At 39.1% G+C, this 22,051-nt stretch overlaps 1 protein-coding gene across 3 annotated transcripts in view; it reads left to right on the top strand.

Annotated features, from left to right (window-relative positions):
* The window catches only part of POTEA (POTE ankyrin domain family member A (gene/pseudogene)), a 72,806-nt gene extending 52,117 nt beyond the window's left edge, over positions 1 to 20,689 (top strand). For 2 of the 3 annotated variants that reach the window (NM_001005365.2, NM_001002920.1), the window contains 3 exons: positions 12,273 to 12,486; positions 16,557 to 16,680; positions 18,465 to 18,699. In NM_001005365.2, the coding sequence (NP_001005365.2) occupies positions 12,273 to 12,409 (137 nt within the window). In that variant the 3' untranslated portion in view covers positions 12,410 to 12,486; positions 16,557 to 16,680; positions 18,465 to 18,699. Of the gene's footprint in view, positions 1 to 12,272; positions 12,487 to 16,556; positions 16,681 to 18,464 lie in introns of all 3 variants that reach the window. The other variant, XM_024447146.1, reaches the window with a different exon arrangement.
* The last annotated feature ends 1,362 nt before the right edge of the window (positions 20,690 to 22,051 follow it).

Consider the following 22,051-nt stretch of genomic DNA (forward strand, 5'->3'; position numbering starts at 1 on the left):
ACGTGCACGTTTGTTACATATGTATACATGTGCCATGTTGGTGTGCTGCACCCATTAACTCATCATTTAGCATTAGGTATATCTCCTAATGCCATCCCTCCCCCCTCCCCCAACCCCACAACACTCCCCGGTGTGTGATGTTCCCCACCCTGTGACCAAGTGTTCTCATTGTTCAATTCCCACCTATGAGTGAGAACATGTGGTGTTTTTTTTTTTGTCCTTGCAATAGTTTGCTGAGAATGATGGTTTCCAGCTTCATCCATGTCCCTACAAAGGACATGAACTCATCCTTTTTATGGCTGCATAGTATTCCATGGTGCATATGTGCCACATTTTCTTAATCCAGTCTATCATTGATGGACATTTCGGTTGGTTCCAAGTCATTGATATTGTGAATAGTGCTGCAATAAACATACGTGTGCATGTGTCTTCATAGCAGCATGATTTATAATCCTTTGGGTATATACCCAGTAATGGGATGGCTGGGTCAAATGGTATTTCCACTTCTAGATCTCTAAGGAATCGCCACACTGACTTCCACAATGGTTGAACTAGTTTACAATCCCATCAACAGTGTAAAAGTGTTCCTATTTCTCCACATCCTCTCCAGCACCTGTTGTTTCCTGACTTTTTAATGATCACCATTCTAACTGGTGTGAGATGGTATCTCATTGTGGTTTTGATTTGCGTTTCTCTGATGGCCAGTGATGGTGAGCATTTCTTCATGTGTTTTTTGGCTGCATGAATGTCTTCTTTTGAGAAGTGTCTGTTCATACCCTTCACCCACATTTTGATGGGGTTCTTTGTTTTTTTCTTGTAAATTTGTTTGAGTTCATTGTAGATAGCCCTTTGTCAGATGAGTAGGTTGCAAAAACTCTCTCCCATTCTGTATGTTGCCTGTTAAGTCTGATGGTAGTTTCTTTTGCTGTGCAGAAGCTCTTTAGTTTAATTAGATCCCATTTGTCAATTTTGGCTTTTGTTGCCATTGCTTTTGGTGATTTAGACATGAAGTCCTTGCCCATGCCTATGTCCTGAATGGTATTGCCTAGGTTTTCTTCTAGGGTTTTTATGGTTTTAGGTCTAACATGTAAGTCTCTAATCCATCTTGAATTAATTTTTGTATAATGTGTAAGGAAGGGATCCAGTTTCAGCTTTCTACATATGGCTAGCCAGTTTTCCCAGCACCATTTATTAAATAGGGACTCCTTTCCCCATTGCTTGTTTTTTGTCAGATTTGTCAAAGATCAGATAGTTGTAGATAATGCAGTGTTATTTCTGAGGGCTCTGTTCTGTTCCATTGTTCTATATCTGTGTTTTGGTACCAGTACCATGCTGTTTTGTTTACTGTAGCCTTGTAGTATAGTTTGAAGTCAGGTAGTGTGATGCCTCCAGCTTTGTTCTTTTGGCTTAGGATTGACTTGGCAGTGTGGGCTCTTTTTTGGTTCCATATGAATTTTAAAGTAGTTTTTTTCCAATTTTGTGAAGAAAGTCATTGGTAGCTTGATGGGGATGGCATTGAATCTATGAATTGCCTTGGGCAGTATGGCCATTTTCACGATATTAATTCTTCCTACCCATGGGCATGAAATGTTCTTCCATTTCTTTGTATCCTCTTTTATTTCATTGTGCAGTGGTTTGTAGTTCTCCTTGAAGAGGTACTTCACGTCCCTTGTAAGTTGTATTCCTAGGTATTTTATTCTCTTTGAAGCAATTGTGAATGGGAGTTCACTCATGATTTGGTTCTCTGTTTGTCTGTTATTGGTGTATAAGAATGCTTGTGATTTTTGCACATTGATTTTGTATCCTGAGAGTTTGCTGAAATTGCTTATCAGCTTAGGGAGATTTTGGGCTGAGACGATGGGGTTTTCTAGATATACAATCATGTCATCTGTAAAGAGGGACAGTTTGACTTCCTCTTTCCCTAATTGAATGCCCTTTATTAACTTCTCCTGCCTGATTGCCCTGGCCAGAACTTCCAACACTGTGTTGAATAGGAGTGGTGACAGAGGGCATCCCTGTCTTGTGCCAGTTTTCAGAGGGAATGCTTCCTGTTTTTGCCCATTCAGTATGATATTGGCTGTGGGTTTGTCATAGATAGCTCTTATTATTTTGAGTTATGTCCCATCAATACCTAATTTATTGAGAGTCTTTAGCATGAAGTGTTATTGAATTTTGTCAAAGGCCTTTTCTGCATCTATTGAGATAATCATGTGGTTTTTGTCTTTGGTTCTGTTTATATGCTGTATTACATTTATTGATTTTCATATGTTGAACTAGCCTTGCATCCCAGGGATGAAGCCGACTTGATCATGGTGGATAAGCTTTTTAATGTGTTGCTGGATTCAGTTGGCGGTATTTTATTGAGGATTTTTGCATCAATGTTTATCAAGGTTATTGGTCTAAAATTCTCTTTTTTTTGTTGTGTCTCTGCCAGGCTTTGGTATCAGGATGATGCTGGCCTCATAAAATGAGTTAGGGAGGATTCCCTCTTTTTCTATTGATTGGAATAGTTTCAGAAGGAATGGTACCAGCTCCTCCTTGTACCTCTGGTAGAATTCGGCTGTGAATCCATCTGGTCCTGGACTTTTTTTAGTTGGTAAACTATTAATTATTGCCTCAATTTCAGAGCCTGTTATTGGTCTATTCAGAGATTCAACTCTTGCTGGTTTAGACTTGGGAGGGTGTATGTGTTGAGGAATTTATCCGTTTCTTCTAGATTTTCTAGTTTATTTGCATGGAGGTGTTTATAGTATTCTCTGATGGTAGTTTGTATTTCTGTGGGATCGGTGGTGACATTCCCTTTGTCATTTTTTATTGTGTCTACTTGATTCTTCTCTCTTTTCTTCTTTATTAGTCTTGCTAGTGGTCTATCAATTTTTTTGATCTTTTCAAAAAACCAGCTCCTGGATTCGTTGATTTTTTGAAGGGTTTTTTTGTGTCTCTATTTCCTTCATTTCTGCTCTGATCTTAGTTATTTCTTGCCTTCTGTTAGCTTTTGAATGTGTTTGCTCTTGCTTCTCTAGTTCTCTTTTATTGTGATGTTGGGGTGTCAATTTTAGATCTTTCCTGCTTTCTCTTGTGGGCATGTAGTGCTGTAAATTTCCCTCCACACACTGCTTTGAATGTGTCCCAGAGATTCTTGTACGTTGTGCCTTTGTTCTCTCTGGTTTCAAAGAACATCTTTATTTCTGCCTTCATTTCGTTATGTACTCAGTAGTCATTCAGGAGCAGGTTGTTGAGTTTCCATGTATTTTAGCAGTTTTGAGTGAGTTTCTTAATCCTGAGTTCTACTTTGATTGCCCTGTCATCTGAGAGACAGTTTGTTATAATTTCTGTTCTTTTACATTTGCTGAGGAGTGCTTTACTTCCAACTGTGTGGTCAATTTTGGAATAGGTGTGGTGTGGTGATGAAAAAAATGTATATTCTGTTGATTTGGGGTGGAGAGTTCTGTAGATGTCTATTAGGTCTGCTTGGTGCAGAGCTGAGTTCAATTCCTGGATATCCTTGTTAACTTTCTGTCTCGTTGATCTGTCTAATGTTGACAGTGGGGTGTTAAAGTCTCCCATTATTATTGTGTGGGAGTCTAAGTCTCTTTGTAGGTCACTAAGGACCTGCTTCATGAATCTGGGTGCTCTTGTATTGGTGGCATATATATTTAAGATAGTTGGCTCTTCTTGTTGAATTGATCCCTTTACCATTATGTAATGGCCTTCTTTGTCTCTTTTGATCTTTGTTGGTTTAAAGTCTGTTTTATCTGAGACTAGGATTGCAACCCTTGCCTTTTTTTGTTTTCCATTTGTTTGTTAGATCTTCCTCCATCCCTTTATTTTGAGCTTATGTGTGTCTCTGCACGTGAGATGGGTTTCCTGAATACAGCACACTGATGGGTCTTGACTCTTTATCCAATTTGCCAGTCTGTGTCTTTTAATTGGAACATTTAGCCCATTTATATTTAAGGTTAATATTGTTATGTGTGAATTTGATCATGTCATTATGATGTTAGCTGGTTATTTTGCTCATTAGTTCATGCTGTTTCTTTCTAGCCTTGATAGTCTTTACAATTTGGCATGTTTTTGCAGTGTCTGGTACTGGTTGTTCCTTTCCATGTTTAGTGCTTCCATCAGGAGCTCTTTTAGGGCTGGCCTGGTGGTGACAAAATCTCTCAGCATTTGCTTGTCTGTAAAGTATTTTATTTCTCCTTTGCTTATGAAGCTTAGTTTGGCTGGATATGAAATTCTGGGTTGAAAATTCTTTCTTTAAGAATGTTGAATATTGGCCCCCACTGTCTTGTGGCTTGTAGAGTTTCTGCTGAGAGATCAGCTGTTAGTCTAATGGGCTTCCCTTTGTTGTTAATCCGACCTTTCTCTCTGGCTGCTCTTAACATTTTTTCCTTCATTTCAGTTTTGGTGAATCTGACAATTATGTGTCTTGGAGTTTCTCTTCTCCAGGAGTATCTTTGTGGCATTCTCTGTATTTCCTGAATTTGAATGTTGGCCTGCCATGCTAGATTGGGGAAGTTCTCCTGGATAATATCCCGCAGAGTGTTTTCCAACTTGGTTCCATTCTTCCCATCACTTTCAGGTACACCAATCAGATGTAGTTTTGGTCTTTTCACATAGTCCCATATTTCTTGAAGGCTTTGTTCATTTCTTTTTATTCTTTTTTCTCTGAACTTCTCTTCTCACTCATTTCATTCATTTTGTCTTCCATTGCTGATACCCTTTCTGCCAGTTGATCGCATCAGCTACTGAGGCTTGTGCATTTGTCACATAGTTCTCATACCTTGGGTTTCAGCTCCGTCAGGTCCTTTAAGGACTTCTCTTCACTGGTTATTCTAGTTAGCCATTCATCTAATTGTTTTTCAAGATTTTTAACTTCTTTGCCATTGGTTCCAACTTCCTCCTTTAGCTCAGAATAGTTTGATCTTCTGAAGCGTTCTTCTCTCAACTCATCAAAGTCATTCTCCGTCCAGCTTTGTTCCATTAGCTAGTGAGGAGCTGTGTTCCTCTGGAAGAGGAGAGGACCTCTGATTTTTAGAGTTTCCAGTTTTTCTGCTCTGTTTTTTCCCCATCTTTGTGGTTTTATCTACCTTTGGTCTTTGATGATGGTGACATACAGATGGGGTTTTGGTGTGGATGTCCTTTCTGTTTGTTAGTTTTCCTTCTAACAGTTAGGACCCCCAGCTGCAGGTCTGTTGGAGTTTACTGGAGGTCCACTCCAGACCCTCTTTGCCTGGGTATCAGCAGCAGTGGCTGCAGAACAGCGGATATTGGTGAACAGCAAATGCTGCTGCCTGATCGTTCCTCTGGAAGTTTTGTCTCAGAGGAGTACCCAGCCATTTGAGGTGTCAGTCTGCCCCTACTGTTGGGTGCCTCCCAGTTAGGCTACTCAGCAGTCAGGGACCCACTTGAGGAGGCAGTCTGTCCATTCTCAGATCTCAAGCTGTGTGCTGGGAGAACCACTATTCTCTTCAAAGCTGTCAGACACGGACTTTTAAGTCTGCAGAGGTTACTGCTGCCTCTTGTTAGTCTGTGCCCTGCCCCCAGAGGTGGAGCCTACAGAGGCAGGCAGGCCTGCTTGAGCTGTGGTGGGCTCCTCCGAGTTAGAACTTCCTGGCAGCTTTGTTTACCTACTGAAGCCTGAGCAATTGTGGGTGCCCCTCCCCCAGCCTCACTGCTGCCTTGCAGTTTGATCTCAGACTGCTGTGCTAGCAATGAGTGAGGCTCCGTGGGCATAGGACCCTCTCAGCCAGGTGTGGGGTATAATCTCCTGATGTGCCATTTGTTAAGCCCATTGGAAATGCAAAGTATTAGGGTGGGAGTGACCTGATTTTCCAGGTGCCATCTGTCACCCCTTTCTTTCACTAGGAAAGGGAATTCCCTGACCCCTTGTGCTTCCTGGTGAGGTGATGCCTCACCCTGCTTTGCCTCATGCATGGTGTGCTGCACCCACTGTCCAGCACTCCTCTGTGGGATGAACCCAGTACCTCAGTTGGAAATGCAGAAATCACCCATCTTCTGCATGTCTCACGTTGGGAGCTGTATACTGGAGCTGTTCCTATTTGGCCATCTTGGCTCCACCCCTCTCCCAGATAGTTAATTTTTTAAAAACCTGCTGTGCTGGAAATTACACTGAGTTAGTGATGAATCTATACATTAATTGGGGGAAGATTTACATTTTAATGAGAATGCATTTTTTGACTCCTGTGAAATGGTTTCTATTTATATAGGTCAAATTTAATTTTCTCAGTAATATTTTATAGATTTTAAAATATGGCTTTCCTTTCTTTTTGAGACAGTTTCACTCCAGGCTGGATTGCGGTGCCTCGATCTTGGCCTACTGCAACCTCTGCCTCCTGGGTTCAAATGATTCTCCTGCCTCAGCCTCCTAAGTAACTGGGATTATAGGCATGAGCCACTGCACCCAGCTAAGTTTTGTATTTTTAGTAGAGATGGGGTTTCACCATTTTGTCCAGAGTGGTCTTAAATTCCTGAACTCAAGTAATCCTCCCGGCTTGGCTTCCCAAAATGCTGGGATTACAGGCATGAGCCACTGTGCCCAGCCTTGGTGTTTCCTTATTTTATCAGATTCATCTGTATCTCATTTTTTAATGAAGTTATAAATGACATTTAAAAAAATTTCAAGTTGATTGTTTACTGCTAGGATATAGGAATACAGCTGATTTTTGTATGTTGATTTTTGTATCCTCCCTCCTTGCTAAACTTAGACTTACTTATTAGTTCTAGTAGCTTTTTTGGTAGATTTGATCAGATTTTATACATACAACAAAGATTATCAAATCTTTTCATTCTCAAACTACTTTCTTACTATGGATAGGAAGTCTTTTAGACTTGTGGCAAAGCAGTCTCTGTTGCAGCTAGTCAACTCTGCCATTGTAGTATGAGAGCAGTCAGGGAAGTTACCTACATTAATAAACTCAGCTGTGTTCCAATAAAACTTTATTTACAAAAGCCAGAAGCTGGCCCAGAGGCTGTAGTTTATCTGCCCCTATTATGTGATCATGGTTGTGAATAAAGACAGTTTTACTTCTTCTTTCCAACCTGGATAACTTTTATTTATTTTTCTTGTCTGACAGCACTGGCTAGAATCTTCAGCACAATGCTTACTAAAGTGTTGAAAGCAGGCATTATTGTGTCATTCCTGATACGGGGAAAGCATTCAGTTTGTCATCATGATACACATTAACTGTAGGTTTATTATAGATGCTTTGTATCATGCTGATGAAGTTCATTTGTATTCTTAGGTTGCTGAGTTTTTTTTTCTTTTTAAATCAAGAATGAAGTTGAATTTTATCAAATGTCTTTATTTACTGAGATAATCATAAGGTTCTTCTCTTTTAGTGTTTTAATGGGGTGAATAACTGATATTTTAATGTTAAACCAACCTTTCATTTTAGAATAAAACTTATTTTCTTAGGATGTAGGCTTTTAAAAAGTATATCATTGGGGCCGGACACGGTGGCTCATGCTTGTAATTTTAGTACTTTGGGAGGTCAAGGCAGGAGGATTGCTTGAAGCTGGAGTTCGAGACCAACCTGGGCAAAAAAATGAGACCCTATATTTATTTGTATTCAGTTTGCCAAAATTCTGTTTAGAAAATTTTAAAAGACTATGTAAATGTAGTTTTAGGTTCACAGCAACATTGAAAGTATGGTACAGAGATTGTCTGTGCTTCCTGTCCACAGACATGCATAGCTTCCCCCATTATCAGTATCTCTCACTATAGTGGTACAGTTGATATGATTGATGAACCAAAATTGCATGTCATAATCATCCAGATTTCATAGTTTATATTAGTGTGCACTCTTGGTGTTGTACATTCTGTAGGTTTGGAAAGGACTGATATTCATCATTATAGTATTGTACAAAGTAATTTTACTGCTCTAAAATTTATTTATGTTTCACCTATCTGCCCTTTCATGCCCTCCTCAACCACAGGTAACCACTGATCTTTTTACTGTATCCATAGTTTTGCCCTTTCTACAATGTCATATAGCTGAAATCATACAGTGCATAGCCTTCAGATTGGCATCTTTCACTTAGTAATATGCGTTTATGTTTCCATCATGTCTTCTCATGACCTGATAGCTCGTTTCTGTTTAGAACTGAATAATGGTTCATTGTGTAACTGTACCAGAGGTTGTTCACTCACCTATTGCAAGGTATCTTGGTTGCTTCAGAAATTTGTGAAATATTTTGTCAATGTTCATGAGGGAGTTTTCTTTTTTGTAATATCATTGTTTGGTTCAGGGTAATGCTAGCATTATAGAATGAGTTGTGTTGTATTTCTCCTCTTTATTATTTGGGAGAGAGGTTGTGTAAAATTATATTACATCTGCCTAAACTGTTTGATAGAATTCACTAGCATAGCTATCTGGGCCTGGAGTTTTCTCAACTTTATTTTCTTTCATAGATATAGGGTGATTTGGATTATCTATTTCTTCTTGATTGAGCTTTGGTAATTTTTATTTTTTAAGGAACGTGCCCACTTAATCTAAGTGGTAATGGTTAGTTACATAAAGCTTGCACTATTATCTTGCTATTCTTTTAATATCTGTAGAATGTATAAAAATGTTACATTAATTATCTCTGAAGTTAGTAATTTATTCTCTTTTTTATGATCAGCCTGGCTAGGTCAAGGTTTATCACTTCCACTGATGACCTCAAAGTATTTGGTTTTATTGATTTTCCCTATTGTTCTCCTGTTTCATCTTTGATGTCATCATCGGTTTGGCCTGCTCTCACAAAATACCATAGACTTGGTAGCTTATAAACAACAGAAACTGATTTCATACATTCCTAAAGGCTGCAAAGTCCAAGATCAAGGTGCCAGAAGATTCAGTGTCTGGTGAGGGACAAATTCCTGATTTCTATATTCCTTTATTTCCCCTGTGTGCTTCATATGGCAGAAGGGGTGAATGAGCTTTCTGGGGTCTCTTATATAAGAAGGGCACTAATCCCATTCATTAGGGCTTGGATTCCATGAGCTATCACCTCCACAAAGCTGCAGTATCTAATAACATCACCTCTGTGATTAAGTTTCAGCATATGAGTTTTGGGAGGACAAAAATGTTCACACTATGTTCTGATGTTTATTATTTTCTCTGCTTCTGTTGGGTTTAATTTGCTCTCTTTTTTTGTAGTTTCTTCTTTTTTACTTACTTTTCGTTTGTTTGCTTGTTTTTGAGACAGAGTCTCATTCTGTCATCTAGCCTGGAGTGCAGTGGTGTGATTTCAGCTCACTGCAACCTCTGCCTCTGGATTCAAGCAATTCTCATGCCTCAGCCTCCTAAGTAGCTAGGACTACAGGTGTGCACCACTGCACCCAGCTAATTTTTGTATTTTTAGTAGAGATGGGGTTTCACCATATTGGCCAGGGTGGACTCGAACTCCTGACTTCATGACCCATCCACCTAGGCCACCGAAAGTGCTGGGATTATAGGCATGAGCCACTGTGTCCAGACCTTTTTTACTTTCTTAAGATAGAAGTCAAGGCTATTGATCTGAATGTCTTCCAGTATAGACATTCCGTGCTAACTTTTCATTTAGGAACTGTTGTAGCTATATTCCACAAAGTCTAACATGTAGTATTTTCATTTTTATTCAGTTCAAAATAGTTTCCAATTTCTCTTTGTGTCACCACTTTGCCTAGGATTATTTAGATATGTGTTACTTTGTTTCCAAATTTTTGAGTATTTTGATGAGCTATTTTGTTACTGATTTCTAATTTTATTCTTTTGTGGTCAGGGACCATACTTTGTATGACTTAAATACTTTTGACTTAATACTTTCATGAAGATTTATTGTATGGCCTAGAATGTGGTCTGTTTTGCTAAGTGTTCCAAGGGCACTTGAGAAGCATAGTGTTCTTCAAGTCTACTCTTGTCTTGCTGATTTTCTGCCTCCTTGTTTTATCATGTATTCAGTACGCAATATTGAAATCTCACACTATACCTGTGAATTTGTCAATTTCTTCTATCAGTTTTTAGCTCATATTTCGAAGCCGTTATGTTACCAGGTACATAAACATTTAAGATTATGTGTTCTTGAATAACTAAATATTTTATCATTCTGAAATGATGTTGTTTATAACTAGTAATATTTTTTGTTGTGAAATCTACTTTAGTATTAATATAATGATTCCTGATTAGATTTCTTTTGTCATCTGTTTGCATGGGATATATTTTTCTTCCTTTTAACCAATTTGTGTCTTTATATTTAAAGTGTGTTTCTTATAGGTAGCATGGAGTAGGATCTTGCTTTTTATACAGTTTGACAATTTGTCTTTTAATTTAGGTTATTAGACCCATTTCATTTATAATGTGATTATTGATATATTAATATTTAAGTTTATCTGTCATCGCGCTGTTTGATTTTCATTAGTCCCAGCTATTCTTTGTTCCCTTCTTTTTCTAATTTCCTTTCAATTAGTTATGTAACTTTTATGGTTTAGTTTTATCTCTCATTTTTTGGCTTATTGGCTCTATTTTTTTTTTTGCTATCTTAATGGTTGCATTACAATTTGTACTGTATGATTTTAACTTATCACAGTTCACTTTCAGACAATATTATATCATATCACATATGGCATAAGAAAATCAGAATAGTATGCTTTCATTTCCTCTCTCCCAGCCAGATTCTTCCTGGATTTGTGGAATTATGGTTTTCATTAAGTTTAGAAAGTTTCTGTTCATTTTCTCTTTATGTTTTGTCATTGTCTCTCCCTCCCTCTTTGGGGACAGGTATATTATTGCTTAAAGTTTTTGCATAATTCTCTGATGTCCCAAATTTATGAATCTTCTCTTTTGTGGTATCTAGTCTGTATTTACTTCTACCAGTGTCCTTTCCGTCATGACTTTGTTTTTGTTTGTTTGTTTGTTTGTTTTTTGAAACAAAGTCTGACTCCATTGCCCAGGCCGGAGAGCAATGGCTCGATCACCTCTCACTGCATCCTCTGCCTCCTGGGTTCAAGCCATTCTCCTGCCTCAGCCTCCCGAGTAGCTGGGGTTACAGGTGCCTGCCATGATGCCCAGCTAATTTCTTTGTACTTTTAGTAGAGATGGGATTTCACCATGTTGGCCAGGCTGGTCTCGAACTCCTGACCTCAAGTGATCCACCTGCCTTGGCCTCCCAAAATGCTGGGATTACAGGCATGAGCCACCATAACTGGCCCAGTCCTGACATTTTAATTTGAATTCCTACTAGTGTAATTTTCTTTCAAGAAATATCTTCCATGTCTCTACTTGAGATTTATTTGGGGACACAGTTGACTTATAAACAACTTGATCTTTCTGGTCTTGTTTTTTGATTTGGTCTAATTTTCCACTCCTGAATCAAGGTGTTTCTGATAACTCTATTCTTTGCCCTGTGAAGTCTTGAGTTTTTTCAGCATCATTCAGACGAATGGACACTCTTCCTGGTACACTGTGAGCAACAGGCACTGTTTCTTACAATTTTTTAAGGATTTTTTCCCCCTGGTCTCAAGTAGTTTCCTAGGACAAATATACTGTTCATTATTCTGCTAAATAAATACCCAATGAGATTCTCAGCTTCATTGTTCGAACTCAGAGAATCTGGGGCTCTACCTCAGTTTTTGGTAGACTCTACCTCAGTTTTTTTTCCTTCAATTGTCATGGCCTGGAAACTTTGCCAAGTCAGGGGGCTGGGGTGTTTGTAAGGCTTATTTCTCTTGTTTCCTATCTTACAGGGTTCATTGTCTTCATTACCTGAAATCCTTGTTCTTGAAAATCGTGGTATTATGTATTTTGTCTTTTTTGGTTTTGTTTTAAGTGAGAAGGTAAATCAGTATCTGCTGCTCCATCGTGGCCAGAAGCAGACTGCAGCAGAGCTTCAGTACATGACATAGACTAGCTAGAATGCTTTTCTACCCCCTTTACTTAACAGCTTCCTTCTCACCCTTCATTTCTCAGTGTAGCCCGCTCTTCCCCAGGGGAATCTTCCTGAGCCCAGTATAGATCAAATCCTGTGTGATCATAGAACTGTTTTCTTGCAGCATCTATCTGAATTTGTAATTTCACTTCTTTGTATTTTTTCTTCACTACACCTAAAGCTAAACAAGAGCAGAGTTACTGTTTGTTTTATCTGCAGAGCTCAGTAGACTGTGTTCGCCATGGTAGGAACTCAGTGCATATTTGTTTGGTGTATGGATGGGTGAAGGTTAAAATGCACGGGACTTTATATCCAAAAACTACTCTTATATTTTATTTCCACCTTGTTTCCCCCCGATGCAGATTCTGCTAGCCTATCAAAAATCCAGGATGCAGTTATTTCAGAAGAACACTTACTAGAACTCAAAAATAGCCACTATGAGCAACTTACAGTAGAAGTTGAACAAATGGAAAATATGGTTCATGTACTACAAAAATAGCTATCTGAGGCAAAAGAAACACAATTACAGTTAGCTCCTCAGAAAGGTGAATGTGAGCAAGAACGCTACAGTTCGAGGTATGACATTCTAGTTTTAGAGAAATATTTTAACTCTTTATTCTAAATATATATGTGAGAATTGTGATTGCTGACTTTCTGGGGCTTAATGGGAGAAAACGTCTTGGTCTTATGGAGTCTGAAAATCTTGGAAATAATACAACAAATTCTTAACTGTGCTTCTTTTATTTATTGCATATGCTTTTAAATTGTGATTTTAATGGCTATTTAGAAGTTTACCATATAGAAATCTCATTATTTAACAAACAGAATTTGGGGTTTTTGATTCTTTTGTATTAGAATTAATGCTGCAAGAAATACTTTTTATTATTACTATTATCATTATTATTATGATTATTATTATTAGAATTTTGCTCTGTCACTGAGGCTGCAGTGCACTGGTGCAAACATAGCTTACTACAACTTTGAACTTTTGGGGTCAAGGGATCCTCTTGCCTCAAATTCCTAAGCAGCTCAGACTGTAGGCACATGCTCCCATGCCTGGCTAACTTTTGAAATTTTTCATTGAGACAAGGTCTCACTATCTTGCCCAGTCTGATCTCCAACTCCTGACCTCCAACAGTCCTCCTGCCTTGGCCTCCCAAAGCATTGGGATTACAGGAGTGAGCCATCACGCCCAGCCCAGAATATCTTTTATATAAATCATTTTCTGCATTTCTAATTATTTACTTTGTATAAAGTCTTCAATATAGAATTTTTTGGTTAAAATATAGAAACTTTTTCAAAAAGGCCTTGGATCAATATTTCTAAATTGTCCTCAAGAATATTTGTATTGAATGCATGCTGAGCTTAATACCTAGGTGATGGGTTGATAGGTGCAGCAAACCACTGTGGCACATGTTTACCTATGTAACAAGCCTGCACATTCTGCCCATGTACTCTGGAAATTAAAATTAAAATTAAAAAAAGAATATTTGTATTAATTTACAGTTCAACCAACAGAGCATGAAATGGCCATTTGTCTCAAACCAGAATACTTTTTAAAAACTTTATACAGTTTTATTCTTTTTTTAACTCTCTGTTTAAATTGATTTATTTTTATTTCAATAGCTTTAGGGGTACAAGTGGTTTTTGGTTACATGGATCAATTTTATAGTGGTGAAGTCTGGGATTTTAGTGTACCCATCACCCAGTAGGTAGTTTTATTGCTCACTTTTCTTCTCCCCTTCCTTCTTCTGAGTCTCCAATGTCATTATACCACTCTACCTGCCTTTACATAACCTAGCATAGCTCCCACTTATAAATGAGAACATGTGGTATTTGTCGTTCCATTCCTGAGTTACTTCACTTAGAATAATGGCCTCTAGCTCCATCCAATTTGCTGGAAAAAACATTATTTCATTCTTCTTTATGGCTGAGTAGTATTCTGTGGTGTGTGTGTGTGTGTGTGTGTATATATACGTATCTATACATGTATGTATATGTAGATGTATGTATATAAGTATATATATACACACATAGATATATGGACTCACACACATATATGTGTATATATATCACATTTTCTTTATGCCATTCATCAGTCAATGGACACTGGTTGATTCCATATATTTTCATGTTGTAATTGTGCTGCAGCAAACATATGTATGAAGGTGTTTTTTTGAGAGTACGATTTCTTTTGTAGATATCCAGAAATGAGAATGCTGGGTACAATGGTAGGATCTACTTTTAGTTCTTTGAGAGTCTCCACAGATTTTGTACTAACTTGCATTCCCATCAGCAGTGTATAACTGTTCTCTTTTCACCACATCCACACCAACGTCTGTTGTCTTTTGATTTTTAATAGTGGCCATTATGGCTGCAGTGAGGTGATATCTCATTGTTGTTTTAGTTTACATTTCCCTGATGATTAGTGATATTTAGTATGTTTTTATATGCTTGTTCAGCATTTGCTCATCCTCTTTTGAGAAATGTCTATTCATGTCATGTGCACACTTTTTAATGGAATCATTTGTATTTTTCCTGCTGATCTGTTTGAGATTCTTGTAGGTTATGGATATTAGTCTTTGACAGATTCATAATTTGCAAATATTTTTCCCATTCTATAGGTTGTTGGTTTACTCTTATGATTATCAATTTGCGGTGCTGAAGCTGAAGCTTTTTAGTTTAATTAGGTCTTATTTATTTATTTTCATTTTTGTTGCATTTGCTTTTAGGGTCTTCATCATAAATTCTTCACCTAGGTCAATGTTTTCAGGTCTTAGTTTTAGGCCTTTAATCCATCTTGAATTAATTTTTGTATATGATAAGAGATAGAGATCCAGTTTCATTCTTCTACATGTGGCTATCTTTTTTTCCTAGCGCCATTTATTGAATAATGTGTACTTTCTCCAGTGTATGTTTTTGTATCCTTTCTCAGAGATCATTTGGTTGTAAGTGGCTTTATTTCTGAATTGTCTATTCTGTTTCATTGATCTATGTATCTACTTTTATACCAGTATGGTGCTGTTTTTGTTACTGTGGCTTTAGAGCATAATATGAAGTCAGATAATGCGACGCCAACATGTTTGTTCCTTTTGCTTGGTACATCTGTTGTTATTCAGGCTCTTTTATGGTTCTACATAAATGTCAACTTTTTTTATAATTCTGTGAAGAATGACATTGGTACTTTCATAGGAATTGTATCAAATCTGTAGACTGCTTTGGGTACTATGGTCATTTTTCACAATATCAGTTCTTTCAGTCCATGAACATAGGATGTATTTTCATTTGTCTGTGTCATCTATTATTTTCTTCGGTAGTGTTTTCCAGTTATCCTTATATAGATCACTCACCTCCTTCATTAAGTATATTCCTAGGTATTTTACACTTTTGCAGCCATTGTAAAAGAGATTGGGTTCTTGATATGACTCTCAGCTTGGTTGTATTTGGTGTATAGTTGTGCCACTGATTGGTATTCATTTATTTTGTAACCTCTGAGACTTTACTGAATTTATTTATCAAATCTAGGAGTGTTTTGTAAGAGTCTTTGGGGTTTTCTAGGTATAAGATCATATCATTGGTGAAGAGATAGCTTGACTTCCTCTTTTAAATTTGGATGCCCTTTATTTCTCTTGCCCAATTGCTCTGCCTGGGACTTCCCAGTTTTATTCTTAATATGCATGAAATAAAAGTAAAATGGAAAATGATTCACGATTAGTTTATTTCACATCTCTGTCTCATAAACAGATAAAATTAATTCACCTTGAATTAATTTTGTTATATGTTAAATACATATATTATATGTATAATAAAAACATGTAATATATTATATGTATAATAAAAACATATATGTTAAAAACAAAATATTAGACCCTGTCTTGTTCAAAAGAATGTCTAAGTTGCTTATAAAATACATAGGAATTAAGAATATAAGTTAAAAATGTTTCCAAAAAATAAACATGAAAATTATGGGTTAACACAGGGGTTCCCAATCCCCAGGCCAAGGACCAGTACCAGTCCCTGGTCTGTTAGAAACTGGGCCACACAGCAGGAGGTTAGTGGCAGGTGAGCAAGTGAAGCTTCATCTGTTTGCAGTCCCTCTCCATCACTCACATTACCGCCTGAGCTCCTCCTCCTGTCAGATCAGTGGTGGCACTAGATTGTCATAGGAGTGTGACCTGAACCCTGTTGTAAGTTGCTCATGCAGGGGATCTAGGTTGTTCACTCCTTATGAGAATCTAATGCCTTATGATCTGTCACCATCTCCTGTCACCCCCAGATGAGACCATACAGTAGCAGGAAAACAAGCTCAGGGCCCCCAGTGATTCTTCTACATTATGGTGAGTTATAGAATTATTTCATTATTAATAATAGTAGAAATAAAGTGCAGAATAAATGTAATGTGCTTGAATAATCCTGGAAGCATCCCCCCACCTCAGGTCTGTGGAAAAATTACCTTCCACAAAACCAGTCCCTGGTGCCAACATGGTTGGGGACAGCTGGCTTAACAGATGTGAGACCCCTTTGCCTTTTCTTGGATTAATCTGCAAGATATACATTGTGTGAATGATATCTGATGATGACACCTTGGCCTGTAAATCATTTTAGGGATACCTTCAGTATCTCATGAAAATTAAAATTTCTTCTAGTGAAGAACAAAATGATACCCGGAAGCAACTTTCCAAGGAACAGAATGCTAGAATATTACAAGATGAGATTCTGACTACTAAACAGAAGCAGATAGAAGTGGCCGAAAAAAAAATGAATTTTGAGGTATTTTCTTTAGTCATTTTCAAATGCTTTTATATAAAATGTATGTATTTAAAAAAACAACTATATATTTCAGAAAGTATAAAGGATTTTTAAATCACATATATATGTATATATGTATATATCATTTATCATGTGTCTATATATGTACATATAGGATAAAGCCATGTTCTTAATTCAACTCCATTTGCCTGCAACAGTTGAGTAGTGACATTCACAATGGCCTAAATCCAAAGAAGCATTTGATATTTTCCATAAGAATTGATGATCTTTCCAATATCAAAAATAAGTTTTGCTAACAACAGATTTTCCAGTTTTTGGACATTAGTTCATCTTTTAAAAATATTAATAGAGAAGTCAGTTTATTATTTTCACTGCTAAGAAAGTAGGAAATGTATAGTTGGGTCAGAGGCCATATTGTGGATATCATTATCCTTACTTTTGAGGACAGTAACAGTTTGCTCCAAGTAGTTTCTCATTTCAATGCAAAGAGCTTTGAAAACAATGACATGCATGATATACATTGAGTGATAATTTATTGATAAGTATTTTGTTCCCAGAGAAAGAGTTCAGTATATTTTCCTCTATTTCACACTTATTACTGTTTCAAACATTATAAAGAAGAAATAAGTTATTGCAATGGCAAATAATCTCATGATTTCTAAGAAAAGCTCTATAAGTTGTATGCTACCATTCATATTTTGAAATAAAAGGCTTCTTTTGTATTTATATATTTACACCACAGAAGTAACTGTGATTTTGTGGAGGATCACTAGAAGTAGCATCAGAAGACCTGGAGAAAATCCTGCATCTTGTGTATATACATATGTGTATATTTGAATATATATGTATATATTCAAAAATATGTATATATTTTTGAGATGGAGTCTCGCACTGTTGCCTGGGCTGGAGTGCAATGGCACGATCTTGACTCACTGCAACCTTTGCCTCCCTGGTTCACTCGATTCTCCTGCCTCAGACTCCCAAGTAGCTTGGATTACAGGTGCACAACACCATACCTGGCTAATTTTTTGTATTTTTAGTAGAGACAGGGTTTCACTATGTTGGCCAGGCTGGTCTCAAACTCCTGACCTTGTGATCTGCCTGCCTTGGCCTCCCAAAGTGCTGGTATTATAGGTGTTAGCCACTGCAATCAGCTGCATATATATTTTTTTAACTTCTTTTAAGAATTGTGATCTTAAATGAGTTCAGTGTCGTACATAGAGGTGCAATGTTTAGATGCAGATGTGTACAATGTAGAAGGGTACAATGTTTAGATTTAACAGTTATGAATAAGTGTAATTCTCATAACTGACTATAACATATTAGAAAAGTAGAATATTGATAAAACATTCTTGAGAAAAAGTAACTTAAAGAATTTTGAGAAATTGCTTCTGCCCTAACATATGTATAGCTAAGGCTCCTACAATGTTATGGTTTATAGGTGAGATATCAGAGTGTAAACCCAATTTAAAAAATATAGTCAAATGTATTAATCTTATATTTTATGCCTCTGGGTTTTTTGTAATTCAGAGAAATGCATTTACAATTCTGAGTTTCTTAAAAATCCTCCAGTGATTTAATTTTCATAATCTTTAAATAAATATTTAGATTTGTGGAGTTTACACTCTATTAGGTTTGAAGTTTTGTCCAACTTGTTTTTAGGTAAATATCCACTATGGGAATTCTTTCATTATACAAACATACAGGTTACTTTTTAATTTCAGAAGAAATTATGATATGTCCCTCTATTGAGTGCTAACTAAAATTTCCCTTTGTTTACTCAGATTTCTCTTAGCCATAAGGAAGAAAAAGAACTCTTGCATGAAAATAGCATGATGCAGGAAGAAATTGCCATGCTAAGAATAGAACTAGACACAATAAAACATCAGAACCAGCTAAGGGAAAAGAAATATCTGGAGTACATTAAAAGTGTGAAAGAAAAGAATGATAATCTTCTAAAGGCTATACAATTGAATGAGGAAGCACTAACAAAAGCAGTAGTTCAGTACAGTGGACAGCTTAGCATTTTGACAACTGAGAATAAAATGCTCAGTTTTGAACTGCAGAATGTAAGACACAACAATGAAACACTGGAAATGGAAATTCAATCATGTCATTTTAGACTGGCTACTGCTCTACATGATTGTGACTGAAGTCAGATAGCAGAAAGAGACTTCTTTCCAGAGAACAAGACATGAACAGGTTTATTTACAGGAGACAATGAATTCTCATATATCTAACCTAAAAGGTAACAGTGAGATTCTTTCTGAGCAACTCTAATGCTAACAGTAAAATTAACAGCCTGAAAATTAAGGTCCATCACACAAGATAAACTCTGAGAGAAAAGACGGGGCAGGCCACCATTTTTCCTTTTTGGGCAACTTAGTCATTCCAGCCTGCAGGCTTTGGAGAGTACAAACCGACCAGGGGAAGAAGACATCCTGCAGCACAGCACAGCTGCTTTATCAAATCATGGCCAGACTGCTTCTGTAAGCAGGCCCCTGATCCTGTTTCTCCTCACTGGAAAGGACCTCCCAGCTGAGGCCTCCAGCTACCCCCACCAGTGTTCCCTGGCCAACAGAGATTTAAATCCCCCCTGGGACAGAGCACCCAGAGAGAGGGGTGGGTCACCACCTTTGCTGTTTGGGCGACTAGCCATTCAGGCCTGCAGACTTTGGAGAGCCCAAGCTGACCAGGGGTGGAAGTGGTACCTCAGCACAGCACAGCTGCCCTATGAAAATGTGACCAGACTCTTTTTTAAGTCAGTCCCTGACCACATTTGTTATCACTGAGTGGAGTCTTTCAACCAGGGTCTCTGGCTACCTTCAGTGCTGTTCTCTGGCTGACAGAGGTTTCAGGCCTTCCTGAGTCAGAGCTCCCAGGGGGAGGACCAGATTGTCATCTTTGCTGTTTGGGCAACTCAGCCATTTCAGCCTTAGGGCTTCAGAGTGTCTGAGGTGATGAGGAGCTGAAGTGAACCCCCAGCATAGCACAGCTGCTTTACCAAAAAGTGGCCAGACCTACATTTTAAGCAAGTCCCTGTTCTTGTTCCTCCTGATTAGGCAAGAGTTTTTTCCACTTGCCTCCAGCCACCTCCTACAGGTGTGTTCAGATTGGCAACAAGTTTGTACCTCAGTGGTACAGTACTCCCAGAGGAAGGGGCAGGCTATCATCTTTGCCTTTTCACAGCCTTCATTGGTGATACCTTCAGGCCCTGGAAAATATGAGGCAGTTAGGGACTGGAGTGCACCCCCAGCATACCACAGCCCCCCTACGGAAAAGTGGCCAGACTGTTACGTGGGTGCCAGTTTCCATATCTTCTTGATGGGCAGGTCTTCCCATCCTGGGTCTCTAGCCAGCACCCCACTGGAGCTACCAAGCCAGTAGCAACTCAGCAATTCCCTGGACAGAGCTTCCAGGAGCAACTGAAATCCTCTATGCCACTGCCTCTGCAGTGGAACTGTCCTTGCTACCCTTGGAATATCAAGGGAGCAAAGACTTTAAGTGCTGTATTGACATGTCCAACAAGTTGCAGTTGACCCAGTGAGCAAGCCAGTCCATCTCCCATGGGTCCCACACACTCTCCACTGTTCATCACCCGACAGGGAACGCTGGCTTGGGCCCACAGCACAGACACTCCATCCTGGGCTGATCGCACTAAGTGATTGCTAACTCACATCTCTCTGGGGTGGAGCCCCTAGGAGAAAAGCCAAGTGGTAGAGCAGCAAGCCAGCTGATGCGGAGCCCAAAGGGCAGGGACAGCTATCTCTCTAGGCACCATTTGCTCTTATGAGACACTTTATCCCAGCACTTTAGGAGTGCTGAGGTCAGACCAGCCACATCTTATGTGCAAGATTGCCCAGCAGAGATCAGGTCTGAGAGTTCCCCTCTTAAAAAAAGGGGACTTGCTTAAAAAAGAAGTCTGGCCACATTTTTGTAGAGCAGCTGTGCTGTGTTGGGGCTTTAGTTTTGAGAGAGTTCTCCTCTGAGACCTGATCTTTGCTGGGAAGTCTTGCATATGAGATGGGGCTGGTCTGACCTCAGCACTCCTTAGTCTGTTTGCCTCTCCCAGGGCCCCAGCCTGGCCACACCTGCTTACAGGGCACTCTCAGGTGCTCACACCATAGCTTCTGTGCCAGTGGACCATGTCTGACCAATGGAGGGTTGCAGCAAGGTGGCCCCTACAGCCATGGACCAGCCTGCATATTGCCTCTACATACTGCAGCTCTTTATATGCAAACTTCCTACATCCCTTTGCTGGTGTGTGTTTACATGGGTGGGTTTTGCTGTACTTGCCCTACCAGCACACGGGAGTGCATCACACACCCCAACCCACACCAACTGCCATTGAAGATGGAGCCCTGGCAGGCACAGAGCCAAAAATCCCCCACCCCCACCAGCACCTCACCCTTGACCTAATGCTGCAGAGAGGAAAAGGGACCCTCTTATATCCTGAGGGACCACTGTTGCTTGGGGAGCACAGAGAAGGCACCTAGACCCGTGCTGGCCAGCACCTCACCCCAAACCAACACTATCTCCAGTGCAACAGCACACACAGTCAGCAGGGGCCCCCTGGTCCCCACCCTAGCTGTCTTGCCTCCACCACTGGGTGAATGCCCACAGGGAGGCAGGCACTTTTGCATCCGCTAGCACTCTGCTGCAGTTGCCGCACTTTGGTCCCCTCAGTGCAGTGGACCCCAAACCTCGAGGAGCCAGAGAACAAAGTTGGGGCCCAGTACAATTTCCTCAGAGTTAAAGCACACAGTCCAGGAATTGGGAGCTGAACACTGGCTCCCTAAAATCCTCCAGAAACAAAGCCAGTTGGCTGAATCCACCTGACACCACAATCAAACCCTCAAGGTCATCAAATGTGATAAAAGAAAAGTACTCTGTCCAAAGGTCAGCAACCGCAATGGTTGAAGGTGGATAAGCCTATAAAGATGAGAAAGAATCTGTGCAAGAACACTGAAAACTCAAAAAGTCAGCGTGTCTTCTTTCCTCCAAATGACTGCATCAACTCTCCAGCAAGTGTTTGGAACTGGGCTGAGGCTAAGATGTCTGAAATGATACAAGTAGAATTCAGAATATGAGTAGGAACAAAGTTCACTGAGTGAGAGAAGTATGTTGTAATCCAATGCAAGGAAGCTAAAAATCACTGCAAAACATTGCAGGAGCTAACAGACAAAATAGCCATTATAGGCCGGGCGCGGTGGCTCACGCCTGTAATCCCAGCACTTTGGGAGGCCGAGGCGGGCGGATCACGAGGTCAGGAGATCGAGACCATCCTGGCTAACACGGTGAAACCCCGTCTCTACTAAAAATACAAAAAATTAGCCGGGCGTGGTAGCGGGCGCCTGTAGTCCCAGCTACT

This window comes from Homo sapiens, chromosome 8 (genome assembly GCF_000001405.40).
Source record: "Homo sapiens chromosome 8, GRCh38.p14 Primary Assembly".
NCBI classification, from domain to species: Eukaryota; Metazoa; Chordata; class Mammalia; order Primates; family Hominidae; genus Homo; species Homo sapiens.